Raw genomic sequence first — 24989 nt, forward strand, 5'->3', positions numbered from 1 at the left:
TCTATGCCCTTGTGAAGGTGATGTGAAACCATGTTTGTCAAACAATCACTGGCCCCAGATACAAGAAAAAAAAGAGACTGGTTGACTTCATGCTGCAGAATTAAAATCTCCCCTTTCAGATGTAGAAACAACAACAACAACACAAAGTTGGCATATAAGACAAAGTTCTGAATTTGTACATTCATGAAACATTCCTCTGAGACTCTGAGAGGTCTATTAATACAACATTTAAGAGGTGGGTGGGCTGGGCACGGTGGCTCACACCTGTAATCCCAGCACTTTGGGAGGCCAAGGCAGGCGGATCACAAGGTCAGGAGATCGAGACTATCCTGGCTAACATGGTGAAACCCCATCTCTACTAAAAATACAAAAAATTAGCCAGGCGTGGTGGCACGCGCCTGTGGTCCCAGCTACTCGGAAGGCTGAGGCAGAAGAATCGCTTGAACCCAAGAGGCAGAGGTTGCAGTGAGCTGAGATCACGCCACTGCACTCCAGCCTGGGCTACAGAGCAAGACTCCGTCTCAAAAATAAATAAATAAATAAATAAAATAAAATACAAAATAAAAAAGAGGCGGGTATAGCTGATGGGGACCAATAGATGTCATACCACAAAGTTCTTTATTTTATACCTCCACTGATTCTGCCTACAATTTTCCACGGGCCAAATTGCAATTGCCAGGGCAACCAGCCAGGTGTGCATTGGCCCTTAGTCTGTGCCAACACCAAACAATACACATTTGTTTGGAACATGGCCCTGGGACATCTTTAGATTTGTTGGAAGAAAGGCCTATTCTCAAAAGCACAAGAAATGCCATGTGAAATCTAACCTAAGCTCCATGTGACCATCAGGAGCGTGGGGCACACGTGTTTTGAGGCACAGAACACTTGTTTCCTGGGGAAACCCACCTCAAGAACATGAACACAACAAAATAAGGGCCGTGTTGCTTATGCATCACAGCACAATTCTTGTTTCTTGTCCACAGTGTTCACCACATCTGCTTGAATGCATGTCTCAGCTCCTACCTCTGCAGAGCTTACTTTAAGATGCTACAGTTCCCCTTTCCTTACTGCAAACAAAGGCGAAAACTTACTATAGGCCTTTTGACTAGTCTGTAGGCAGTGGCACTTCCTCTAGATGTTAATCTCCCAAACATAAAAGAGGAAGAAGAAAGACAGCTTGTCTGTGAATAATCTACAGTGAGACATCTGCACATGCTCAATTCATTCCAGGATTTGTCTAGTAAACACTCAAGGGAGAAAGCATATAATGGTTTTGGAAACCTGTTTGGTGAGATATACTGAGCATACAGGTTTCCAAAAATTAAACCACTGGCATTTTTAAATCTGATGAAATATTTAAAATACATTGAAAAATAAAGACAATAGCATCACAAAGACCAGTATAAACACAAATCAGATTTAAATGTTTGCTATACTCCCTTCTAAATTTTTAAACATAAAATATTTTACAGAGAGTTGTAGTAGTTCTTTTATAGCCTTCCCTGAAGACATTTTTTACTTAACCTGCCTACTTAGAGGTAACCACTAACCAGAAATCAATATGGTTCCTTGCCTTCCATGTTTTTATGCTTTCATCACATAGTCACAGTCATGTATCCATAAGTATAACAGTATTGTTTTGCAGCCCAACTTAAATATATATAAATATACAAACACATTTAGTTGGCATATAAATCTAGGGTGTGCATATATATATGGCATATATACAGTGTGCATATATAATAGCATATATAGTGTATACATGCTATACATAGTGTTTATATAGCATGTATATATAGAGAGAGAGTATATAGTGTATACATGCTATACATAGTGTTTATGTAGCATGTTTATGTAGTGTGTATATATACTCACTATACATAGTGTGTATATATACTCACTATACATAGTGTGTATAGGTGTATGTTCATGTAGACTTTAAACTAGTTTTATTTCCTTTTGTATAATAAAAAAATCAAAATATATCCAAATGTACTGAATTCATCTACAATGCTGGGCCTGACTAGACAGCCAGGAATCAGACTTTCAAAGCAAGATAAAAATGTTACTGGAGAAGTCATTTTTCAATAAGAACAACTTCTTGCATTTTTCTTTGTGTAATGATAAAATCGCCTATCACATAAACTTCCATGAACATAACAAAGGAATTTTGCTTGGGTTCACTGTAGTAGTCAATCTAGTAAATTGGTTATTTAAATTTTTATTTGCAATTGACTTTTGAGTATAGCAGTTATTTACCTGACAAAATCAGGAGTTCAATGATCTCTGCATCTCCCAGAAATGCGGCCACATGAAGAGGGGTTCGTTTCTCAGAATCCTGAAATACACAACGTCAAAGACATACAACAGGTCAGTGGCAGCTGGAGGTCCCTTTTGTAGACATAGTAAGACGTGTCACTCACTCTGTGGTTAATGCATGTGGAAGAGTGTGAACACCAAACATTCGAGTAACTTCTGGTTATGCATTTTCTCTCAACATACCCTATAGTTACACATAACAAAGCATTCCATTTTCTGTGTCTGTGCTTGGTATTTGCCCACTTGCTGCTTTTACTGAAGCCCAGCTGAGGTCATAGATGGATCATTATGCCCTGGATGATGAATTTCAACTTACAGTATTTCCAAACCTTCAGGATGGTTAAAAAAAAAAAAAAAAAATCTAACCTACCATAGCAATATAGTTCAAAGCTTTCAATGACTTATTTTCTTTCTAAGGAAACATAGTGGAATGGTTCACAAGGACATTAAACATTAAACATAACTGTGGTCATTTTCTCCTTTCTATGCTTGTTAATTGTTGTTTGGACCACTGCCCATTCATGAAATACTTACTGAATGCTTACTCTATGCCAGAAACCATATTCTGGGGACAGAGGGATGACTACAACAGGCCTGGTCCCTGCCCTCATGAAACTCACATTCAAGTGGGAAGGCTGACAATAGTATACTAGACAATAGTATACTAGATACACATGAGATTATTTCAGATAAAACACCGTATGGGATTAAGTGATTCAGGAGATGGGAATAAGAGTGGTCAGTGAGGCCTTTCTGAGAATGTTGACATTAAGGCTGAGAGCTAAGGTTGATATTATCTCTGTTTTATAGATAAGAAGACTGTAGCTCAAATTTTAAAATTTCCTCAAGATTCCACAGGTATATAGCACAGTCAAGATCTGACCTTCACCCAGCAGACTTCAGTCTGTATCTTTGGCAAGGCATTGAACAGATTGTGCTGAAAGGCAGCATGGTAACATGCAAGGGAAAAAAGCGTTGCTTCCTCATCTGTAAATTGGCGATAATAAAATCTACCTTAGAGGACTGATAAGAGGACTAAAGATCATATAAGTAAATAAAGCCCTAGGCAAGCAGGAGATAAGTGCACAGCAGTGCTCCATACGAAGCCCATTATTGTCATTGGCATAGAGAGTTGTGTGATATCTTTCCTCCAAAGACTGAAAACTTCCTGGAGTAAAGAACCGGCCTCACTCTTCTTTATCCCCATAGTAGCAGCATACTTGGTGCTCAGCATAAATTGGCTGAACTAACTAGTCTACACGTATGGTTTCTTCCACTAACTTCTATTGACTCCTCCATAGCAATGGTAACCAAAGCCCATCTGCTATGTCTTTAAGGTTTCTCCTAAAACTAGCATGTATGTTAGTTTCAAGTTTCTTGGATTCGCTGTTGATTTTAATCATTATTCCTTTCATAATTTGATTATATAATACATCTAACAACCCTTGATTAGCCCAAGGATATTATTCCATTTTCTGACAGTCCAGACCCTCTGCTCTTCCTCTGTCTCTCACAGATTATTGCTTTTAGACATTTCATGACTCACTAATATCTAAAACAGATGGCAGGCAGGGGACACAACAAGAATTGATCTTCAAACCAGTCTATTTTTTAGAAAGTCTGGTAAGTAGGTTTTATAAAGAATGCACTACCATTAAGTAGACAAAAAGGAGTTTGGATTCACTGGAAACTCATGTTGTCTATGTATGGCTGCAGGCAATTACTATGGAAAAGTGAAAATAGGGCAGTCATGCAACTATAAAATAATGGCATGCATTGGAAAATTCAGTACGATATATGACTACAATCAACCTTGTTATAGATATATCACCCTATCTTTGAAAATAAAGATTCAGTATTTGAAATCATGTTAGCTTATTTGAGAATCAAGTGTATTAATTTGTGCAATGAACTATATAAGCTGAGAACAGATTTTCACAAATGTTTTCTATTTCTATTGATAACCCTAGATGCATTTTCCATTTTAGCCTCATGTTCCCTTTGAATCCTCGCTATATCTACTTAAAATTTTCTACTGGGATTTTTGGATAAAAGCTATGTAATTACATGTTCTTTTGTGAACTGAATTGGTTTCAGGGTTTGGTTCAACAAATTAAACCCTGCCTAAGTGATTTAAACAGGGACTATTCCAACCCAAATTATGACTTCATTTGACCTGAAGCAAAGGCAACTCTATTTGAGATCTTGGCCTCAAATAAAAAGCTAAGAAAACTCCAACATCCCTCCCTACCTTGCAAATCTGGTTGGCCTGTCATGATATGACTGGTTTTGCTGATTCTGTGGCCCCTTTTATGGCACAGCTTGTTCAAACCAAAGTTTCTATAACATAAAAAGGGTGTGTTGCATGAATACTGTAAAAATTCTTGATGATGAATCCCAGTGTTCCTGTTAATATGTGCTTAAAGGTTTCTGGTAGTTTCCAGAATAACTATGCGAATTGATACTCTCCTTTAGTGACATGGCACAGACAGGTAACTGCAGAGAAGACTTGTATTCAGGCAGTACTCCTTTAGTTCTCCAAAGCAGCAGAACCACAGAAACAATCACAAGTGCTATTAAGACCTTAACCAACATAATAGTGCATTTCCACTATTGACCAAGGGTTGCTAACGTCTTCTCTTCTAACAAGGAACACCTGATCATGAGTCAAAGCGTGAATGACCGAGCCACAGTAATCACCATGCTGGATAGAGAGAAATCAGCCAGGAGGTAGCACTATGTCCTCTGCCTAGGTAGAAGGCCACTCTACTTTGCCATAAGCTAAACTAATGGAATAGGAGATGGAATAGAAGGAGGGCGAAGGTTCTGGAGAAAAGAGAATAGTAGTAATAATACTGGTTAAAATGGGTTCTAGCCCAATGACATCCTTAGGGTGTCTAGAAGAAGAAACAAATCTAGCTGGTTATTATGAAGTGCTTTTATTTTTATTTTTTCCAAATATCTGCTCAACTATTCTACTACTCCATCTCAAAACATTCCTATCAGAGGAGTCACACCTTTTACAACTGTGTTCTTCAGTCTTATTATCACCATTTAAAAGATAAAGAATCTGAGCCTAGGACAGTTTGTATGACTTAACCCAACGCAGCAAACTGATGCCAAAGAATTAGGTGTCCTGGCTCCCAACCTGAAACTTTTTTCTTTATAAAAATGAAAGTGGGCTGGGCACGGTGGCTCACACCTGTAATCCCAGCACTTTGGGAGGCTGAGGTGGGCGGATCACAAGTTCAGGAGATTGAGACCATCCTGGCTAACACGGTGAAACCCCATTTCTACAAAAAAATACAAAAAATTAGCCGGGCATGGTGGAGGGCGCCTGTAGTCCCAGCTACTTGGGAGGCTGAGGCAGGAGAATGGCATGAACCCGGGAGGCGGAGCTTGCAGTGAGCCAAGATCGCGCCACTGCACTCTAGCCTGGGTGACAGAGCGAGACTCCATCTCAAAAAAAAGAAAAAAAATGAAAGCAAGAGCATCTTAGAAGTTCATGTGATAGTCTAAAAACCCTTCTACTATGATCCCTAAGAAATCAGGAGGAAAATGTGACGAACATACGGTAAACATCATTTTAAATGAACTGAGAAGAAATTAAATAGAAAGGGGTCAGAAATGGAGGGTAAATAGAGAACCAAAGCCGCAGGCACATGAACTTAGAGTGCAGGGATAGGTCAATACACCAGGGGCTTGGGGCTTAACACTTGCAGGCAGTGAGAGATAAGGCAGAGAACTAGAACTGCGACCTCCAAGCAAAGAAAGACCCTTGAAGTGGCCTTGAAGAAAGACTCCTGAGGTGAAATAGTGGACTTGGAAAAAAACAATGACAAACACTCACGTAGGCAGATGGCAAAGAGATGCCTTGTCCCGGGTTCTTGGTAGGGGAATAAAAATGTTTCCACTGAGCATTCACATCCCCAGAGTCTGCCCTCATGTGGTTTAGAGCTTTGAATTCACATTGCCTGTATAGTCTGGGAATTTACTTTTTTTTTTTTAATCCAGGAACTTTCAAGTTGAAAATATGCAAAAAAAAAAAAAAAAATGGGTTTTAGACCAATGATACCCCTAAGGTCCCTAGAAGAAGAAACAAAACCTAGCTGGATAGATATGCCCTCAATCCAGTCAACCTGGGACACCCACAGATTAAATCTCCATTGAAAATGAACTCACAAGCCTAAGCCATAAGACTCACGTGGAAACGTTCACCATAAGCAAGAGTCAGCAGACTGAAGAACCAGCAAGAATTTGAGATCACAGAAGAATGAGATGGAGAACAGGGATGACATTTAAAATAACTTAAGACACAAAGGACAAAGCATAAGGGGGAACACCCCCACTATTTTTGAAAAACAAACAAAATTTGGAGGAAGAGATAATGAAGCAAGTATTATGGAAAGCAGTACCAAAACATGATGCTAGACAGCATCTAAAATTTTGGTCTAAGAGGGATCAAACTCAAAGAATAAAAAAAGAAAGGGGAGGAGAAAGGAAAAATAAGCACAGGAACTTTGGGCTACGTTTTACAATCATTTATTCAGCCATATTATCTAGACATAGATATTTATTTAGAATCTATTATATGCCAGACATTGTGGTACACATTAGGGATACAAAATTTAAAATATCTAGCCCTCTAACCCTAAAGAAACTTGCAGTCCACTGATCAGTTTCTAAATGTAGGATATTAGAATAAAAACAATAGCAGGGAAGTGGCAAATAGTGATATCCATGATGTTAAATGATTTGTGAACGTATCAAATGCAATAAGACAAAAATATCTTGGTGAATACTTCCCCCAAACCCATCCATATCCGAACTGGCCTGTGCAGTAAGTCTCAACTGCCAAGAAAAAAAAAAATCTCTTCTGAATTGGGAATTAAACACATCTTGCCCAGGACTCCCTAAAGGTCCTATTGGCTCCAGCTTATCTGGGAATCTTGGAAGCCCTCAAGGGCCAGCCTTCTGGGTCAGTTAGTGAGCCTAGCCTCTATCTTACAGGCTGGCTCAGGGGTAGTTCCTGGATCAAAATTGGAATCCAGTACCAGGACAGGACCAGAGCAGCATTAACCTATAGTGGCCGAGCTAAGTGCATTATTTGCATTCATTTCCATCTTTTGCCCAAGTGGACTCTCTGTGATGACCAATAGTTGAATAGTTACATAGGCTTTTATAACACCCATGAATATAAGTGGGGAAAATAACCCAAAAGCAGGTGCAGCAAGATTAACACACACTGAAATGGCTCATCAGCATAGTTTTTAAAGATTGTCCAAACATCACAAAAAGGAAGGTCTTTTTTCATCACCCAGTAGCTCTAATTCCACATAGTCCTTTGCAGACAGATTCAGATGCATGAGAAATGAGAAGACCCAGGTTCCTCCAGAAGGAAGGATGGTAAACCCTCCCATTCTACGAATAGCCAAAGATACACACAGCCAGCAGGGGTCTGAGCTAAATTTGCAGTATGTCTCAGAGAGATCAGGCAGAGGAAGTTGAGCTGTCTGTTTACCAAAGAAGAAGCAGATAAAAGAAAATAGGGAACTTGAAGTAGGTACATGCAAAGTGAGTTTGACATGGGCAGAGAGGCCATTCTGGTAGCTAAAAATACTGTGTAGACAGGCAGACTGAGGGGCACCCTACGCCTGTTTTGAAGATTAAGAATTGTTACATGCTTTGGAAATTCTCAGCTAGAAGTACATGATCTAATCTGCATTCTAAGTAACTGTCATACACCAAAACAAACATTCCACCCTGTATATGAATATCTTACATACCAAGACAGAAAGATGGAGCAATATTAAGAAAACAAGCCTATGAAATACAGAAGTTAAGTTTGGGCCGGACGTGGTGGCTCATGCATGCAATCCCTGCACTTCGGGAGGCTGAGGCAGATGGATGGCTTAAGCCCAGGAAATTGAGACCAGGAGACCTCGTCTCTATTAAAAGTAATTTTTTTAAATCAGCTGGGCGTGGTAGCATGTGCCTGTGGTCCCAGATACTTGGGAGGCTGAGGTGGGAGGATTGCTTGAGCCCAGAAGGTCAAGAGGTCAAGGCTGCAGTGAACTGTGATCACACCATTGCACTCCACTGCACCATCTTGCTCTGGGTGACAGAGCAAGACCCTGCCAAAAAAAAAAAAAAAAAAAAAAGAAGAAACAAGAAGAAGAGGAAGAAGAGGAAGAGGAAGAAGGAGGAGGAGGAGGAGGGTTCCAATTATCAATCCAAACTTCCAAATTCCCACTAAAATTAAAGAAGCTGGGAGATAACTGACAACCTAGGCCCAACTACCTTAATGTGATATTGAACAGAGATCACTAGAGGCAAGAAGATGTCTAAAGAAACTCTGAACACATACACACAACAGGTACCTCGGAAGTATTTCAAATTACATGAGGACAGGAGCCAAACGACACAAAATGGGAAGAATGCTTGGCCTTAAGGTGGGGAATTAAAAGAAGGTTAAAGAAGAAAGGAAAGAGAAAGACAGAAAACAAATGCCATGCTTCTTTTGAAATTTTTCATGTTTACTTTCAATTTTTAACATCTCATAAATACACAGAAATACAGAAAGTAATAGTCCCATATGTGCCCACCAGCAAAAACAAACATGTTAACATTTTTCTATGTCTCCTTCAGAACTCTAGTTTAAAAAAATACTTTTAGGGATAAAAGTGCCATCTTCAGAAATGCAAATGGTTCTGAAAATAATTTGAAGTATGTGTTTGCATGTGTGTGTTTGTGTGTATAAGAGAGAAAGGTGGGGAAGGGAGAGAGAGAGAGAAAGTGGGAAGGAGGAAAGGGATTAGGTTGTTTTTAATTCTTCAAACCACTATTAAAAATGGTGTTGCAGTGTACACCTTTGTACATGTCTGTCTGTGCATACATGTGAGAATTTCTCTGAAGTAGATACCCAAAAAAGGAAGCACTGGATTAGGGTACACACACACATTCAATTGTATTAGGTATCCCTAAATAACTTCCAAAGTATTAATAGTTTTACTAATTTACACTCCCACCAGTTACATTTTAGTTCCTTTTCCTAACATCCTCGCCAATATCTGATGCTATCGGCTTTCTTTTTTTTTTTTTTTTTTTTTTTGAGACGGAGTCTCGCTCTGTCGCCCAGGCTGGAGTGCAGTGGCGCGATCTCGGCTCACTGCAAGCTCCGCCTCCCGGGTTCACGCCATTCTCCTGCCTCAGCCTCCCAAGTAGCTGGGACTACAGGCGCCCGCTACCACGCCCGGCTAATTTTTTGTATTTTTAGTAGAGACGGGGTTTCACCATGTTAGCCAGGATGGTCTCGATCTCCTGACCTCGTGATCCGCCCGCCTCGGCCTCCCAAAGTGCTGGGATTACAGGCGTGAGCCACCGCGCCCGGCCACTATCGGCTTTCTTACTCCTTGCCAGTATGTTATGCCTGACATGGTACATTCTGGTTTTTTCAACTGCGAACTGCCTATATGTATCTTTACCTATTGTTAAATTTGGTTATTAGTCTTTTCCTTGTGTGTGGAGTTTTTTATATTGTTTAATTCAACTTTCAATGAAAATTCAAGTTATGTATTCACCTAGACACAACAGAAATGAATCAATGTTTTCCCCAAGTTACCATAAGAGAAAAATTTAGATTTACAGTCCTTATTCATCCCTAATGCATGCATTGTCTCATAAAGCTGAATTTTCCTTGTGTGGAGCCTCCCATGCCTCAAAGGTGACAGCAAATCTCTGTCCCAACATGCTCCCACCACCACACAATTGTATTCAACCATCACACTCTGCTGGTATTGTAACCCATTCATTTGAATGTAACATGGATATATATTTCTCATATAGAAAATATAGATATATTTTCTATCTCTAAACATGTTCAAATTATGTTATACTCTCAATATGATATCTAACTCCTGAAACGAAGAATCACGCACAAGAATTAAAATGATGATAAAATAAGAAAAATAAGAATGCCAAAGACATTTTTATTTTATCTCCCTTACATAACTAGACACTGGATATTTTATTGCACTAATTTCTAAAAATCAAATAATGTATATTGAGCAAAACTTGTATCAGAGAGTTTATATTTTCAAATTTGATCCTTAAAACAATACTGTGAAGTAAATATGAGCATCCCCATTTCACTGTTGAGGAACCTGAGATTTTGAGGTGATGAGTAACTTGTCCAGAGTCACAAAGCTAGTAAGTGGTAAAACCAAGATTCAAAACCAGATCTGATTCCATTGTTCACGCTCTTGCTGGCTTTTGGATGGTTACAAGCCTTGGTAAATACAATGAAAGTTATTCTCCATTATAATTAGCATGCTTGCCCTAAATACTCTAGACCCAAGGGCAAAAGGCTTGTATGTAAAAAAGTACAAGCAGGCAAGAAGAATAAAATTGGAGAACTAACATTACCTGATTTCAGAGCTTATTATAAAGTTACAGTAATCAAAACAATATGGTATTGGTGCAAAGAAAACTCTGGTGAAAGAATAGCCTTGTCAACAAATGGTCCTAGAACAATGAGATATTAAACTTTGGGCCATACCTTGAACCCTAAACAAAAATTAAATCAAAATGGATCACAGAACTAAATGTAAAACTTAAAATTATAAAATATCTAAAGGAAACATAGGCAAGATCTTTTCACCTTGGGTTAAGCAAAGATTTCTTAGATATGACATCAGAGCAAAACCCATAAAAGGATAAATTGGTAAATGGAATTTTATCAAAATGAATAATGTCCACTCTTTGAAACACACTGGTAAGAGAATGAAGATAAGCCACAGACTGGGGGAACATATTTGTAAAGCATATATTGGATAAAGGACTTCTATCTAGAACCTACAAAACAACTCTCAATAACTATGAAAGCAAACAATCCAATTAAAAAGTAGGCAAAAGATTTGAACAGATATTTCACCAAAGATATACAGATAGCAAATAAGCATATAAAACAATGCTCACCGGGCCGGGCGTGGTGGCTCACACCTGTAATCCCATCACTTTGGGAGGCCAAGGCGGGCGGATCACGAGGTCAGGAGATCAAGATCATCCTGGCTAACATGGTGAAACCCCGTCTCTACCAAAAATACAAAAAATTAGCCGGGCGTGGTGTCAGGCACCTGTAGTCCCAGCTACTCAGGAGGCTGAGGCAGGAGAATGGAGTGAACCCGGGAGGCGGAGCTTGCAGCGAGTGGAGATTGCACCACTGCACTCCATCCTGGGCGACAGAGCGAGACTCCGTCTCAAAAAAAAAAAAACAGTGCCCACCGTCATTAGTCATTAGAGAAAGGCAAATTAAAGCCATATTACATACTTATTAAAATTGCTAAAATTAAAAGGACTAATGATACCAAGTGTTGGTGAAGATGTGGAGGAACTATAACATTCAGGCACTGCTAGTAGGAGTGGGAAATGATATAGTCACTTTGAAAAACAGTTTGGCAATTTCTTAAAAACTTAAACATACAACTACCATATAAGCTAGGTATCGTACCCTTGGGTATTTACTGGAAAGAAATGAAAGCATATGTCCATACAGAGACTTGCACATGAGTATTCCTAACAGCTTTATTTGTAATACCAAAAACTAGAAGTAATCCAAGTTTCCATCAAAAGATGAATGGACAAACTTATTTCCACATAATGGAACACTACTCAGCAATTAAAAGGAATGAACTATGGATATATGTCACAACATGGATGAATCAAAATAATTGTGTGAGTGAAACAAGTCGGGCAAAAAAAAAGTACATATTGTATAAATCCACGTACATAAAATTCTAGAAAATGCAAACTAATACACAGTGACAGAAAGCAGATCAGCAGTTGCCTGACGGGCCTAAGGGAGAGACTGGGAGGGGTAGCAGGGAGGGATTTGAAAGGGGAACAAGGAAGCTTTTGGAGCACTGTATATGTTCATTATCTCAATCATGGTAATGGTTTCATATGTCAAAACTTCGCAAACTGTACACTTTAAATATGGGTAGTTTATTGTATGTCAATTATATTTCAATTAAGCGGTTTCATAAATACATAAGCAGGCAAATAAAACACATTCTCACTCTTACGTAAAGTAAAAAAAGGCATATTTAAAAGTTAAAAATACCCCTAAGCAACAAAATTTATTCAGTTAATAGAAGAAAAGAAATAGCAAAATCGAATTAACCAATAGTGGGTTAATTTAGAGGCAGCTCATGTTATGCCCTGGTTATGTGTGGATGTAAAAGTGAAGTTCTTACAAAAGAATGGCCTGTTGGCTTAAAATCTACAGGCTTTAAAAATAGGCACAACCAGCCAGGCGCAGTGGCTCACGCCTGTAATCCCAGCATTTTGGGAGGCCAAGGTAGGTGGATCACCTGAGGTCAGGAGTTCGAGACCAGCCTGGCCAACATGGTGAAACTCCCTCTCTACTAAAAATACAAAAAAAACTAGCCTGGCGTGGTGGCACACACCTGTAATCCCAGCTACTCAGGAGGCTGAGGCAGGAGAATTGCTTGAGCCCAAGAGGCAGAGGTTGCAGTGAGCTGAGATCGTGCCACTGCACTCCAGCCTGGCCGACAGAGTGAGACTCTGTCAAAAAAAAAAAAAAAAAAAAAAGGTACAACCAAGATTCCTCTTCAAAATCTCTTAGGTTATTTTGTTTCCTAAATGAAACCTTTGACAAATGTGTACTGAGTAAGGATGTAGAAAATAAATCTAGAAAATTAAGTACAAGTGGGAAGGTAAATGGTTTATGCCTAACCTTTGAATACACTGCAACATGGCAGCACTGGATTGACATAGAACCCTTGGGATCTTACCACTGTGCCCAGACATTCCCAAGTGACAGAAGCCCTTTTAAAGGGTCTCTGCTGGGGAAAGTTGATAAAGTACCAACTATTTGTAAGGCCCTGATATCACTTGGCCAGGAATATTTCTTGAGAGCCAGTGGAAACAGAACATGGGAAAGGGTTCTGGTCCTTAAGTCCCACAGAATGAAAAACTGGCCAAGACGCTGTGCTTTGGTGCCAGCGAAACAGGAATATACAACCACCCACTGCCAAGATAATCATCAGGAGCTTCTGATGAAAACCGAAGCAGGTCTTCGGAGTACCACCTTCCCCGACAGCCTAAAAGCTAATAAAGTTCACAATTGTTCTATGCATGACCCCAAGCATATTAAGAAGGAGTGTCTTTAAACTTAACGCATTTGTTGAAAAGTTTTCCATTCCGTTCTTGAACACATGGTGGGAATGTTTTACTGCTAAGTGTATTTAAGGAAACCCACAGATTGGAACTGCTCTAACCAGTGAGGCGAGAAGTCTAGTTTCAGTTACGGCCCCACCACAGGCTCACTGTCTCTTTTAATTAATTCATTAACCAATTTATTAAACAAACATAGATTAATGAGAGGCAGATAACTAAAAGAATAACATAATCATCTGGGAAACTATCTCCTATTGATGAAAGGGTAAAAAGAAGGCAGCTGCTAGTTTTTCACCACTGTAAGGGGCTAGCAATGGTGAAAGTTTGTCATCAGATAAATGAACACACAGTGTCAGGATCAAAATCACAGGAGAGGAAGCTAGAATTACAAAATATTTAAACTTAACCTGGAAGGGCATCAGAGACATCCGGAGAGTTTAATCGATTGGCTGAAGGTCACACAGCTCTTGATGGCAATGGTGGAATCTTTCATTCATACAATAGACAAAAACATTTACTGGGGATCCACCATACGCCAAGCACCGTGCTCAGACCTGAAGATGCAGCAGCCTTCAAGGGACAGGGTCCCTGCCTTTATGACGCCTGAAAGAATCTTGCTTTCTTGACTCCAGGCAGGGGACATTCTATTACAGTAGACTAATGCTAGATTAAACACACCCATCAGCAAAGAGCAAACAAACACACACACACACACACACACATACACACACATACACACGGTATTAGAAAAAGTTAAACAGAAAGAAACTGTGCAATGAAAGGAGATGCTCAAAGGCATCTGCTCTGGATATAACAATAACTCCTAGCTATGGGGTTCCCCCTTCTTCCTTTCCACTCCCTGGAATTAAAAGCAAAAGCTTATATATAGAACAGTTTCTGTGGTCCACAGAAAACCATTTTAACAGAAATGATTAGTAGTTCTTTCCAAGTTTTTTTCAACCTCCAGGTGGATATTTTAGAAACAGAGCTTATGTGTAATACTCACAATAAAAATCAACAATGCAGTTTTCTGGCCGAAGATATCAGATCAGCACAAGACACTAAGATGTTAACACTAATTATCTCTGGGTGAATAATTTTATGGGCATTCCTCACTTTCTACTTTGTTTGACTGTGTTTCAAGACTTGCAGTTTACAAACAAGAAAATAAAATTCCTCTTGTAAATAATAAAAGACTTTCCTATTAAAAAAATACAGGTCTGCTCTAGCAAAAGCTTTTCTTAAGTAATCACAAATAGTAAAGCACTGGACATTATTTCCTGTCCAAAGACTTCAATACCTTGTAGTAGGTTCTGAATAATTGATATGTGAGTGTGTTTCTTTGAAAACGACAAAACATTACATTTATGATTAAACATGGCAAAATTGTAATTTGTCTAATGATTCATAAAGTTGCCAAGTACTGTTCTATACAGTGCATCAGCTGATTCTTAAGAAAATCCAGACAGACTGATCAAGTATGTATTATTGTCCTCATTTTACAGGACAGGAATTAAGGTTGACTCAGAGTTAAGTGACTCACCCAAAGTCACACACCAATATTTGGTGACCCTGGATTTCCTGACTCCACATCCGCTGCTCTCTCAACACCACTAGGTAAGGCATTAACTAACCATTAAGAATTCCTCTCTAAGAAAGAACCTGCTTCATCCTCCTCACAGCATTTTGGAGGCCTTTGGTTCTACCCAAATCTTCCTTTCTTATCTAATCTTTCTTATCAGGTGGCCTATATGATAGACACACACACACACATACACACATGCACACGCACACACATACGCATGCACTTTCATTATAAAAAAACAAACTCTGGAGTCAGAATGACCCAACTTTGAATCCCTCCTCTGCCACGTATGAGCTGTGTGACTTTGAGTAAATAAATCAACCTGATTACTCATTTTTCTTTTTCATTCTAAAATGAAAAATAGGATTACCTACATGCAGGCACAGATTAGATGTCCAATAAATATTAGCTCCTCTTACTACTATTATCAATGACATCTCTGTGGCTTATCCCAATTTTTTTAGTTCTCCTTGATGACTATAGAGGAAAATAAGGAGATGCAGACAGATCCTGGGGGGAACAAGTTTACTGGCAAGAAGTTATATTTGTTTACAAGTAGAAGCATTTACTCTGCCCACAGCCAGCCAATAGCAGTGCTTGCCTGCCTCCTCTCCCCTCCATGAAGTAGTCAACCATTGCATCTTGTATCCTGGCCATTGTAGCCTGTCCTATCCCAACCCAAAGGTAACTGAAGCCTCTCTCATACTCTAGAGTCGGGCCTTCCATTCTTTATCCTTAATCTCATAGGACCTGCAGCAGTCTCTTCCCCTGGTAGAATCCCCTAAAACACCTATATATCAGCGACTCTCACTCCCTGCTCAGAATATATCCCTGCTGCCCTGAAGGCCTCCTTTCCCATCCAGTCTCAATATCTGAGCAGAGTCAGATCTGGTTAAAACTGGACAGATGGGAGCTTCCCTGGGGGTTTGGATGTTGTACCCTTTCTCTCCTCACCCAAAGCTGAAAACCTTCAAATAAGTCAACCCCAAGCCAGAACATCCTCACCAAATCTTTCTGACACTTGTCAGGAAAATTCTGCAGGCCAAGACTCCTATGTTATCAATAGAAGCCCCTTCTTAGTAACTTAATTAGAAGTAAATCCACCACAGACTCATTACAGGTCCTCAGGCAGATAACCAGGGGGTCGCTTTCTGTATCAACAAAAAAAAGGAAGTATTCTTCTATGCCCTTTCTAAATTGAGCCAGTGGGACAGAAAACCGAACACACTACAAAGATTCCTAATGGAGTATTCTGCTTAGTGAGGCTAGACCTCAAAATGGCAGGCTTCGAAGCCCCTTCATTACAGATTGACACGAGTGCTCCCAGAATTGGGAGATGGCTACGTAACAGCACTTTTCGAAGATAAGGCATATGGGAGATGCATCTCTACCTCCAGGGCAATGTCAAATAAACCTACACATACTTGAGCACACCCAGCAAAAAAACGGTCACTAGGGATGCATTTAGCCTTCATAAACTTGGGCTGTAGGGGGTGTTTTTCCCTTTTAAAGGGAAAAATTTAAAGTTTAAAGCAACTTTAAATTGCTTTGTATTTCAGGACTAACTAGTATTTTTTCACATGGGCTAAGAGGCCCTAGAATCCACACTTGAAAAACCTTGCCTCTGAGAGAATCAAGAATGCAAGAATAGAGTCTTCTCCTACAAAAATCTCAAATACTCATATACTCAACACCAGAGAGGACACAGGGATATTGCATTCCATGGATGGATTAAACACTAATATATATTTGGATGGTTTGCTTGCTTGCAATTACTATCTTTTCTCTGTTGTGTTTATGTGTTCATGGAAGTGAATAATTTTTAATTTAAATGTATCTTGCTTACCATATGTATTTCTGAAAGTGGTCTACATATCAAATTGTGAAAAACTGATTATTTTTTCCATTGAATTATAAAATAATGACTAGAGGACACGGGGTTCAATCAGCTGAGGATCCTGGGGCATCACCTCATGTCTACTCTAGATTGGAAATCTTTGTGTCTCTCTCTGGGCAATCTGACCTCAAGATGGAACAGATCCAGGCATATCTCTCTAGCACATCAGACTTCCACTTCCTCTAGATAGGGAAAGTTAGCTCACACCATGCTACGGTCTCGTGACTTGGAGGGTCTGCTCCTCTATCACCTACCTTCTTTCCACCAGCCCCTAGTCACTGGCGTGCTTCATACTCAGTCTTGAAATCCCCAGAAGACCCCATTACTATTCGTGATCCATCTGGCTAAATGCCTTAGCCCACAGTGTGTTCTGGTATGTGGCATTTTCCTCTCTATAGTCCTCAAGTCAATGCTAATCTTAGATCACTCCCCAACTTCACCCCCAAGATGATATGCTTATGTTTTAAGCACAGCTGTTCCAACATGATTTTCTCTTCCCACCCTAAATGTGACAAGACATTGAGGCTTCATTCCCTGAATGCCACTGAACAAAGCCAACAGAGCTCTATGACCTTTGGTCTACCTCTTATGAACCGTTTTATTTCTAAGAATTGGTATTTCCTCCTCTATGAACCTGATGAGCTCCTTCTACCTTCTTCCCACCAAAGCCAAGACTGCTGGCAGTGGTGCATTCCTGTCCAAAAGGCGAGTCTCAGACGGAAATGTAGAAGTGTGATGCTTTGAAATACGGCACAAAACAACTCCCTCTTGAGAACCAAGGACATTAGACATAAGGACAATGTTTTATTTTAAAGCCACAAAACAGGGAGCCTCTAATTTAAGATTTTTGGGTCACTCGAAAGTCTTTTCACACTGAGCTCAAGTGTCCTTTCCTCTGAAACCTCTTCTGGTTCTCCACCCTGCATCCCCTCCTCCATGCTATAGGCTTCTGGACAGTACCATCACATCTAACTGCCTGCTTTCCTTTTTCTGCCTGCCCCTAACTGGGCTATGGGTACAGGGCAGAAACAGTCTTATTCATCTCTGTATCAACCTAACAACACATCTGGCATACAGTCAGTGCTCAATATATGTCTTGCAGGAATAGAAAGAAGTCTTAATGCATCTTAAACTTTTTATCAAAGCCTATGCCACAATAAGAAAAGGGTCTGCCTATATGAGGGCGGCCTGCAGGTTTCTGTGGTGAGACAGAGAACCGGTTGTCTACTAGGGTCTGGATGGAATCAATGGCTTGGTTTTTTTTGTGGTTCTCATCTATCCCTAACCTTGAGTGAAGATAGCAACCACCTCAGTCCATCACAGGCAGGGCTTGGCCTTGTTTCAAAGCTGTTTGACCATCTCAGAACCCTCAGCCCTTCAGGCTTCCTATCAATTCTGTTGTTCTAAATTAGAGCCATGACTTGAACCTGACTTACCCAGTGGGTGAGAAAAACAGGCTTGCTAAGGTGGTACCTAGAAGCTATGAGGCTGGGTTAGCATTCCACAGCAACGATGCTCACCTGTGTCCCCTCCTATGAGGGCTGCCTGCTGTGCAGTTCTGGTTTCTGTGAGACCTCAACCTGCAATAATCCTTAGAGAGTGACACTATGTCCACAACCAGTCCCACAGTGCCAGTTCCTGGGAGGCCAAGTGGCTTGTTGAATAGGAAACCAGCACTGAGTTTTTTAAAGATGTGGGACATTTACTTAGTAGTCTCTGGCTAGCCCCAACATGCGCATGAAAAAATTAGAGGCTCCCATTAGAATGAAACTACTGGTGTGGAACATTTCCAGGCGTAGGAAATCTAGATGTTGGAACAGTCATGGAAAGTGGAAGAAGTGGGCTGGTGATCTTTAACAGGCCAGGGCAGGCCCAGTGCTGGGAGGGAGGACTGGGGAGCAGAAGGTTAACACCAGGCTGGAGTGCAGTGGCTCACTGCAACCTCCACCTCCTGGGTTCAAGCGATTCTCCTACCTCAGGCTCCCGAGTAGCTGGGACTACAAGCGCACGACACCACGTCCAGCTAATTTTTGTATATTCAGTACAGACGGGTTTTCACCATGCTGGGCAGGCTAGCCTGGAACTCCTGACTTCAGGTAATCCGCCCGCCTCGGCCCTCCAAAGTGCTAGAATTACAGGCATGAAGCTCCGCGCCCGGCCACCACTATTTCTTAAAAGGTGAGGGTTTAAGAGATTACAGTGGGGGAGTGGATCCATCCGAGTGCTTCAGAAAGTACAAAAAGAAAAGGAAGCCGGGTCACGTGGAGTCCTTACTCTTCTCAATCCCTCAAGAATTTCCCAGAAGGATGGACTTTCCTAAGAGGCTGCGGTGTGCTGCAGGCCCAGTCCTGGTCCAGCCCTGTCGCTGGGCTAGAACCAGAGTTGGTGGGGAAGTTCCATTCCCGGGGAGCGAGGCTCCTTTATTCCCACCTGGCTGAGTGGGGGCTTTCTACATTCCTCGGGTCCCGGGAGGCCTGGCCTCTGACACCGCCGGCTGCGTCTGGGTAGCAAGACCCCTTGGTGCCTGCGGTTCTTGACCCCTCTCTGGCAGCACAAGGTCAAAGGTGTGGGGAGGGGCGGGAGGCGCAGCTGCGGGGTCCCTGGAGTTCCCTGGCGGGGCCTGGTAGCGGAAGACCTTTCCCTCTGAGGCGCCCCTCTGTTCTCTGGGGGCGGCCACACTGTGGGGTCGGGCAGGTCGCACCCTTCCCCCAGCTGAAGAGCAGCGCTCAGAAGAGCCCTTCCCCCACCGCAGCGGCTCCTGGGTGGGAAAGAAACAAAGGCCGGCTTCGCGGCCGCTCGGAGCCGGGAGCATGCGCGGTGAGCCCCCTCCCCTGCTGCTGCGGGGTTCCCGCGCCCCAACCCCTGCCCCGGACCTCAGGTCGCTGGCCCCTCCTGCCCCGGACGTCCGCTTTCTCGCCACCAGGCCTCCGCTCATTTGGGCCTGCCGCCTCCTCATCTTCTGCAGCCCAACCCTCAGCCTCCTCCATGCATTCCCAGCAATGCCTCTCAGAAGTAGTTGTCCCTTCCTCTGTGTTCCCTGGGTTTTGAGGGTTTTTTTTTTCCATTTAGTTTATTCTACCTTGGTTTTTAGCCATCTCTGAGGATGGCAGTACATCCTAGTGGGCCCTGGAGGCGGAAGAACTGGGTTCAAACCCTGCCCCCTGCCACTTGGAGCCATATAACCTTAGGCAAGTTACTAGATCCTCCTCTAAACTACTGTTTATTTGTCTGTAAAATGGGGCTAATAGAATCATTCTCCCTACCTCCTGAAGATGTGTGAGATGGAATGAAATGATGCTTAGAAAGCATTTGGCACAGTTCCTATCACATGGTTAGCACTCAGCAAATGTTGCCGGTTAGGATTTAACCCATGTTTTCACCCTTTCCTCAACACGCCCCTTCTGGCTGGCTGGCTGAATTCGAAAGACTGAGCAAATTCCAGAGTAAACAAGATGGCACCATCGGAACAAGAGGAAGGAGAATATGTCCAAGGGCCAGGTAAACATGCTCTCTAACAGGTCCCATGACTGGAGATGCTCAGGATCAGAGGAACAAAATGGAACGTGCCAGACTCCGTGGGAGGTGTCACCTGACAGAGGAGCTGACCGGACAAGCCTTCATCTTTAGTGAACAAAATCTAATCCTTGGCACAGCCACTTGTAATTTCTGGGGTGACAGAAAGGTCGAGTGAGCACGACCACAGTGAGTGGGTCACAAGAAGTGTCTCTGATCTCAGGTTACCTGTGATCAAGTACCTGTAAGCAGCTAGGAATAGTGATTGGGAACCAGAAGGCCAAATGTAAGAGGCACTCAGCACTAGAGATGCTCAGAAAATGCTGTTCCATGTCTAGAAGATGATGGATAAGTTAGTCAACTGCTGGAGTTTTCCTGGGAGCAAACACCATAAAATACAATTTGTGGAAGCATTACTGATGAGATATGATGCTGGCATATATAGCATCAGGAACCATTTACCCTAAGACCTAAGCAATGAAAGAAATGTTTAATAGTAACTATGAGCATCTATTGGTACGTGATAGCTTTTAAACTTGGACTTCTTTTAGTTCAAAATCATTTATATAGTGATAATGTAAATGATTTGACTCATTTTATGACATGAACAGAAGGATTTTCTAATAATTTTTACAATGAACATAGAGATTCCAGGCAAGTTTAGACAAAAAGACATGACACTGTTCTTGCCTTAAGTTCATACTTTAGTAGAGGGAACAAACATAACTTTGTAAGTTCCAATATCCTGTTTTAATCTATACCAAAGCTTAAAAGTTGAACCCTAAATCTGCCTGCAGATTTTGCTTGACTGTTACAGAGGTTTGTAAAATCTAAAGTGGAATATCTTTATTGGGGTATGAATGGTCCAGTTCAGTACAACCCCCACCACTCCCTAACACCTTCTTTACACAATGGCACTGCCTCCTGGATTCTGAAAGCTTTTGAGTTGGCAAGCAGGATCTGTACTTTTCTTTCTAAGTATGCTTATGCCTTTGGCCAAAAGCAACACAATTTGGACCCAATAAACTGCAATCCAAAGACGTGCTCTGAAGGACATGTAATGCCATAAACTGTTATGGGCAGCTTTTGAGAGCCAAGCATTGTGATAGGTTCTAGGGATACAAAGATGAATGAGTAAGGATCCCTGTTCTATAAGCACTTAAGATACTTAAATGACAAAGGCACCAAATGAAAGCGAGGAATATTGAAAAGAGGATGTTATGTGATAAGGATATGGCTACAGAATTTAAAGTTTGCTGATTCTAGACAAAAAGTAAATTCTTTAGAAAGAAATATTCCTAGAACAGAGAAGAAGAATCACTGACAATGATTGTTTTAAACATATGCCAGAACCTGCTATAAGCATTTTTCATGGATTATGCTCAGAATGGGATATCCCCATTTTACAGATGAGGAAATAGAGGCACGGAGAGATTAATTACCTAACCCAAGGTCATATAACAGCTGGTAGACAGCAGAGCCACACTTGGAACCAGGCACTCTGGCCACCAATGCTCACACTCTTAGCCACTATTCTATGCTGTATCCTAGAATAACCTATCGCTAGGCTATATTGACTTCTTGCAAATACCATTTAGGAACCAAATATTTTCTTTTCAAGATAAATCAAGTCAATTCTTATGTGATATATAGTGTCCTGAGAGAAATTACTTTGTCCAAGAATAAAAGCATAACATCATAAGTGACAGGTCTAGTTTTTAAGCTAATAGAAATTAATATATGTGGTATTTTTGTTTATAAATCAGTCTGAGTTTATACTGTGTGAATCATTTTCCCAAATTCCAGTCACTCTTGCACTGTGCTGAGAAAAATCAAGCCTCCTCAGGTGATGTGTATGCACATCAAAGTTTGAAAAGCATTAGCTATAAGGTAGAAATAAGACATTTGCCTTTCAGCAGCGCCTGCCACCAATCAGCCAAAAGAAAAAAAAAAAGTCTTTTTGAACACATACATTTTTATTCTTTCATAAACTTCATATACATGCCACTATATTATCATATTTAATATGCAATAAGATACACATAAAATATACATTTTAATTTTTTAAAAACAGATTGAAGTAGATATTTCATTGCCCCCAGTGGATCATCTGGCACACTTCCTAAGATGCCTATATTCCCCTTTTTGGAATCTACATACCTTACATCAAGGATCTTATCTAAGAGCTAGACCATCTATCTTAGATGGGTATCTTCCAATCATCGAAGACTTCCCAGAACCCAAATCAAGAATAATTTCTACAGTTAAAGAAAATACTGTGTATTGTTACTTTGTCAATGAAGCCCACCAGAATGCATCTAAGAGCAGGGGTTTTGGGAAATCTACATCCAGGTGATGTTTTTAAATAGTTCAAGACCATTCTTCTATGTCTTAATTTACAAACATTCTCTAATAAGCATGAACTATACTTGGTTGCTTCACCTCCCGTGGCTGGGCATGTGGAAGAAACTGAAAAAATACTTGTTAACTGCATGACTGTCTTCCAGCCAAAGTGATGATCTTTGTCATCTGGTTTCATGCAAAACATGCAGATTTTCCCCTTTACCATACTCTTCTTCCCTAAGAGTGAGACTATCCCAGAGGCAGCATGTTGAGCAGAGCCATCTCTTTTTATCTAGCATTCTATTGGGCAGAACATGAATTTAGCTACCTGTAACATATAATTCAGAGATTCAAGAGTTTTGCAAAAATGACTTGTCTTTGGAGCCTTGAGCCGCCCTGTCACAAGTTCAACAACCTTGTGGCTGCCTTGCTGAACTGAAGCCCTGGCCACATGGAAAGGCCACATAGAAGTGTTCAGGCTGACAGCCAGCATCAGCCACCGGACATGTGAGTGAAGTCACCTCTAGATGATTCCAGCCCCCATCTGTCAAGTCACCCCAGCTGACAAGTCTTTCCACAGAACAGAGAAAAGCTATCCCACTGTGCCTGTTGGAATTCTTAACCCACAAAATCCATGAGCATCATCAATTGGCTGTTTTATGCCACTAAACTTTGGGGTGGTTTTTATACTGCAATAGTAAAAGTCTCTGTGAGATTCTGAAGTGCTCTCTGAATTATTATAGAAAGACAACATTATGTTTAGTGTTAAATGGCCTTATTTATTTTCAAACTCAGGGTAACCAGGCAGTCATTGATTATTAAAATATACAGGGGACTCTAACAACAAGATTTATTAAACCCCATCATCATTTCCTTTGTGTACCAGCAAACAGCCAATTACTACATGTGCAGAATAATGGTGGCAATTGTCACTTTGCTGTCCCCTGCGAAGCAACTCTTTAGTTCTGTCTCCTCTCTCAGAAATGAATTGCTCCTTCTCCTCCTCTAGCTCTTCCCCTTCTTCTCCCTATTGCTCAGGCTGGGAACTCAGGACTCATTTTTAGATGCTCTCTCTTCCTTGCCCCTCACATTGAATCCATCATCAAATCCTGAGTGGTCTACCTTCATGACACACTTGGAAGCAATCTGCAGCTCTCCCCATGTAGAGGTTAGAAGTACCGTAATCCATGTGAGTGGCGCCCCCTAGAGCTCATGAGTACATGGCGTCATGGCCACTGCAAACACCCTACTTCAGGCACATCATTTCTGCCCTGACCCCAACTATGGTCTTCCTGCTGCTCTCACAGCTTCTACTCTCCCTGTCACAATCTGTAATTCACACAACACCCAGAGTGACTTTCCAAAATATTCTCCAGAACATTGTGCACCTAAGTGGAATCCAAACTCCTCGCTCAGCTCTGATGACCGGCCCCTTTCTTGTCTCCTCTCCAACTTCCTTTTCTACCACCTTCCCCCTCCTTCACTCTCCTTCAGCCACACTGGCCTTAATTTTCTTCTGGGAAGTTGCACTCTCTCCCCTAACCCTCCTTGGGGCCTTTGCTCCTGTCTTTATCCAGCCTGAAACATTCCCCCCAATCTTCTCATGGCCCCCAATTTCTCATGGCCAGTCTCAGCTTAAATGTCACTGCCACCTCAAGAGACCTTTCCTAACTACCTTTTGTTAGTATCATAGCACACTTGGCTTTCTTCATAGCAGTCTTCTCAGTTTATAAGTACCTATTCATTCATTTCCTTTACCTGTTTACTTCCTTTCTCTCCAATACACTGTAAACTCCTGATGCAAGGACCAGGCCTGTGTCCACCACTAATACAACCCCAGCACCTGTCATGGTGCCTGACACATAGCAGATTCTGTCAGTATATGTTGAGTGAATAAATTTACTTGCATACTATGTAGCAGTGGATTGTGATACCCTACTCCACTCCCACCTCCAGAACATCTGTTTTCCTCCCAGTTGACCACGGACCAATGGTTCTCAAAGTGCAGTCCCCAACCAGCAGCATCAGCATCACCGGAACTTACTAGAAATGCAGATTCTCAGGCCCCACCCTGGACCTCCCAAATCAGAAGCTCTGAGGGTAAAGCCCATCAATCTGTATTTTAACAAGCCT

General features: G+C 41.3%; 1 protein-coding gene across 20 annotated transcripts in view, besides 2 other annotated features; it reads right to left on the reverse strand.

The window, feature by feature from the left end:
• Window positions 1–24989, reverse strand: part of ANKRD44 (ankyrin repeat domain 44) — a 343767-nt gene that overhangs the window by 177754 nt on the left and 141024 nt on the right. For all 20 annotated transcript variants that reach the window (NR_160034.1, XR_923062.3, XM_047446287.1 and 17 more), the window contains one exon: window positions 2260–2338. Coding sequence is in view for 18 of the 20 variants with exons in the window: in XM_047446287.1 (XP_047302243.1) it covers window positions 2260–2338 (79 nt within the window). In the remaining 2 variants the exon portion in view is untranslated. The remainder of the gene's footprint in view (window positions 1–2259; window positions 2339–24989) is intronic.
• Window positions 841–1000: an enhancer, noted in NCBI's record as "active region_16916". NCBI's record gives its function as "activates an Ori minimal core promoter by ATAC-STARR-seq in GM12878 lymphoblastoid cells {active_cell/tissue: GM12878}" and the evidence as "EXISTENCE:reporter gene assay evidence [ECO:0000049][PMID:35858748]".
• Window positions 7894–8003: an enhancer, noted in NCBI's record as "active region_16917". NCBI's record gives its function as "activates an Ori minimal core promoter by ATAC-STARR-seq in GM12878 lymphoblastoid cells {active_cell/tissue: GM12878}" and the evidence as "EXISTENCE:reporter gene assay evidence [ECO:0000049][PMID:35858748]".

Source organism: Homo sapiens, chromosome 2 (genome assembly GCF_000001405.40).
Source record: "Homo sapiens chromosome 2, GRCh38.p14 Primary Assembly".
NCBI classification, from domain to species: Eukaryota; Metazoa; Chordata; class Mammalia; order Primates; family Hominidae; genus Homo; species Homo sapiens.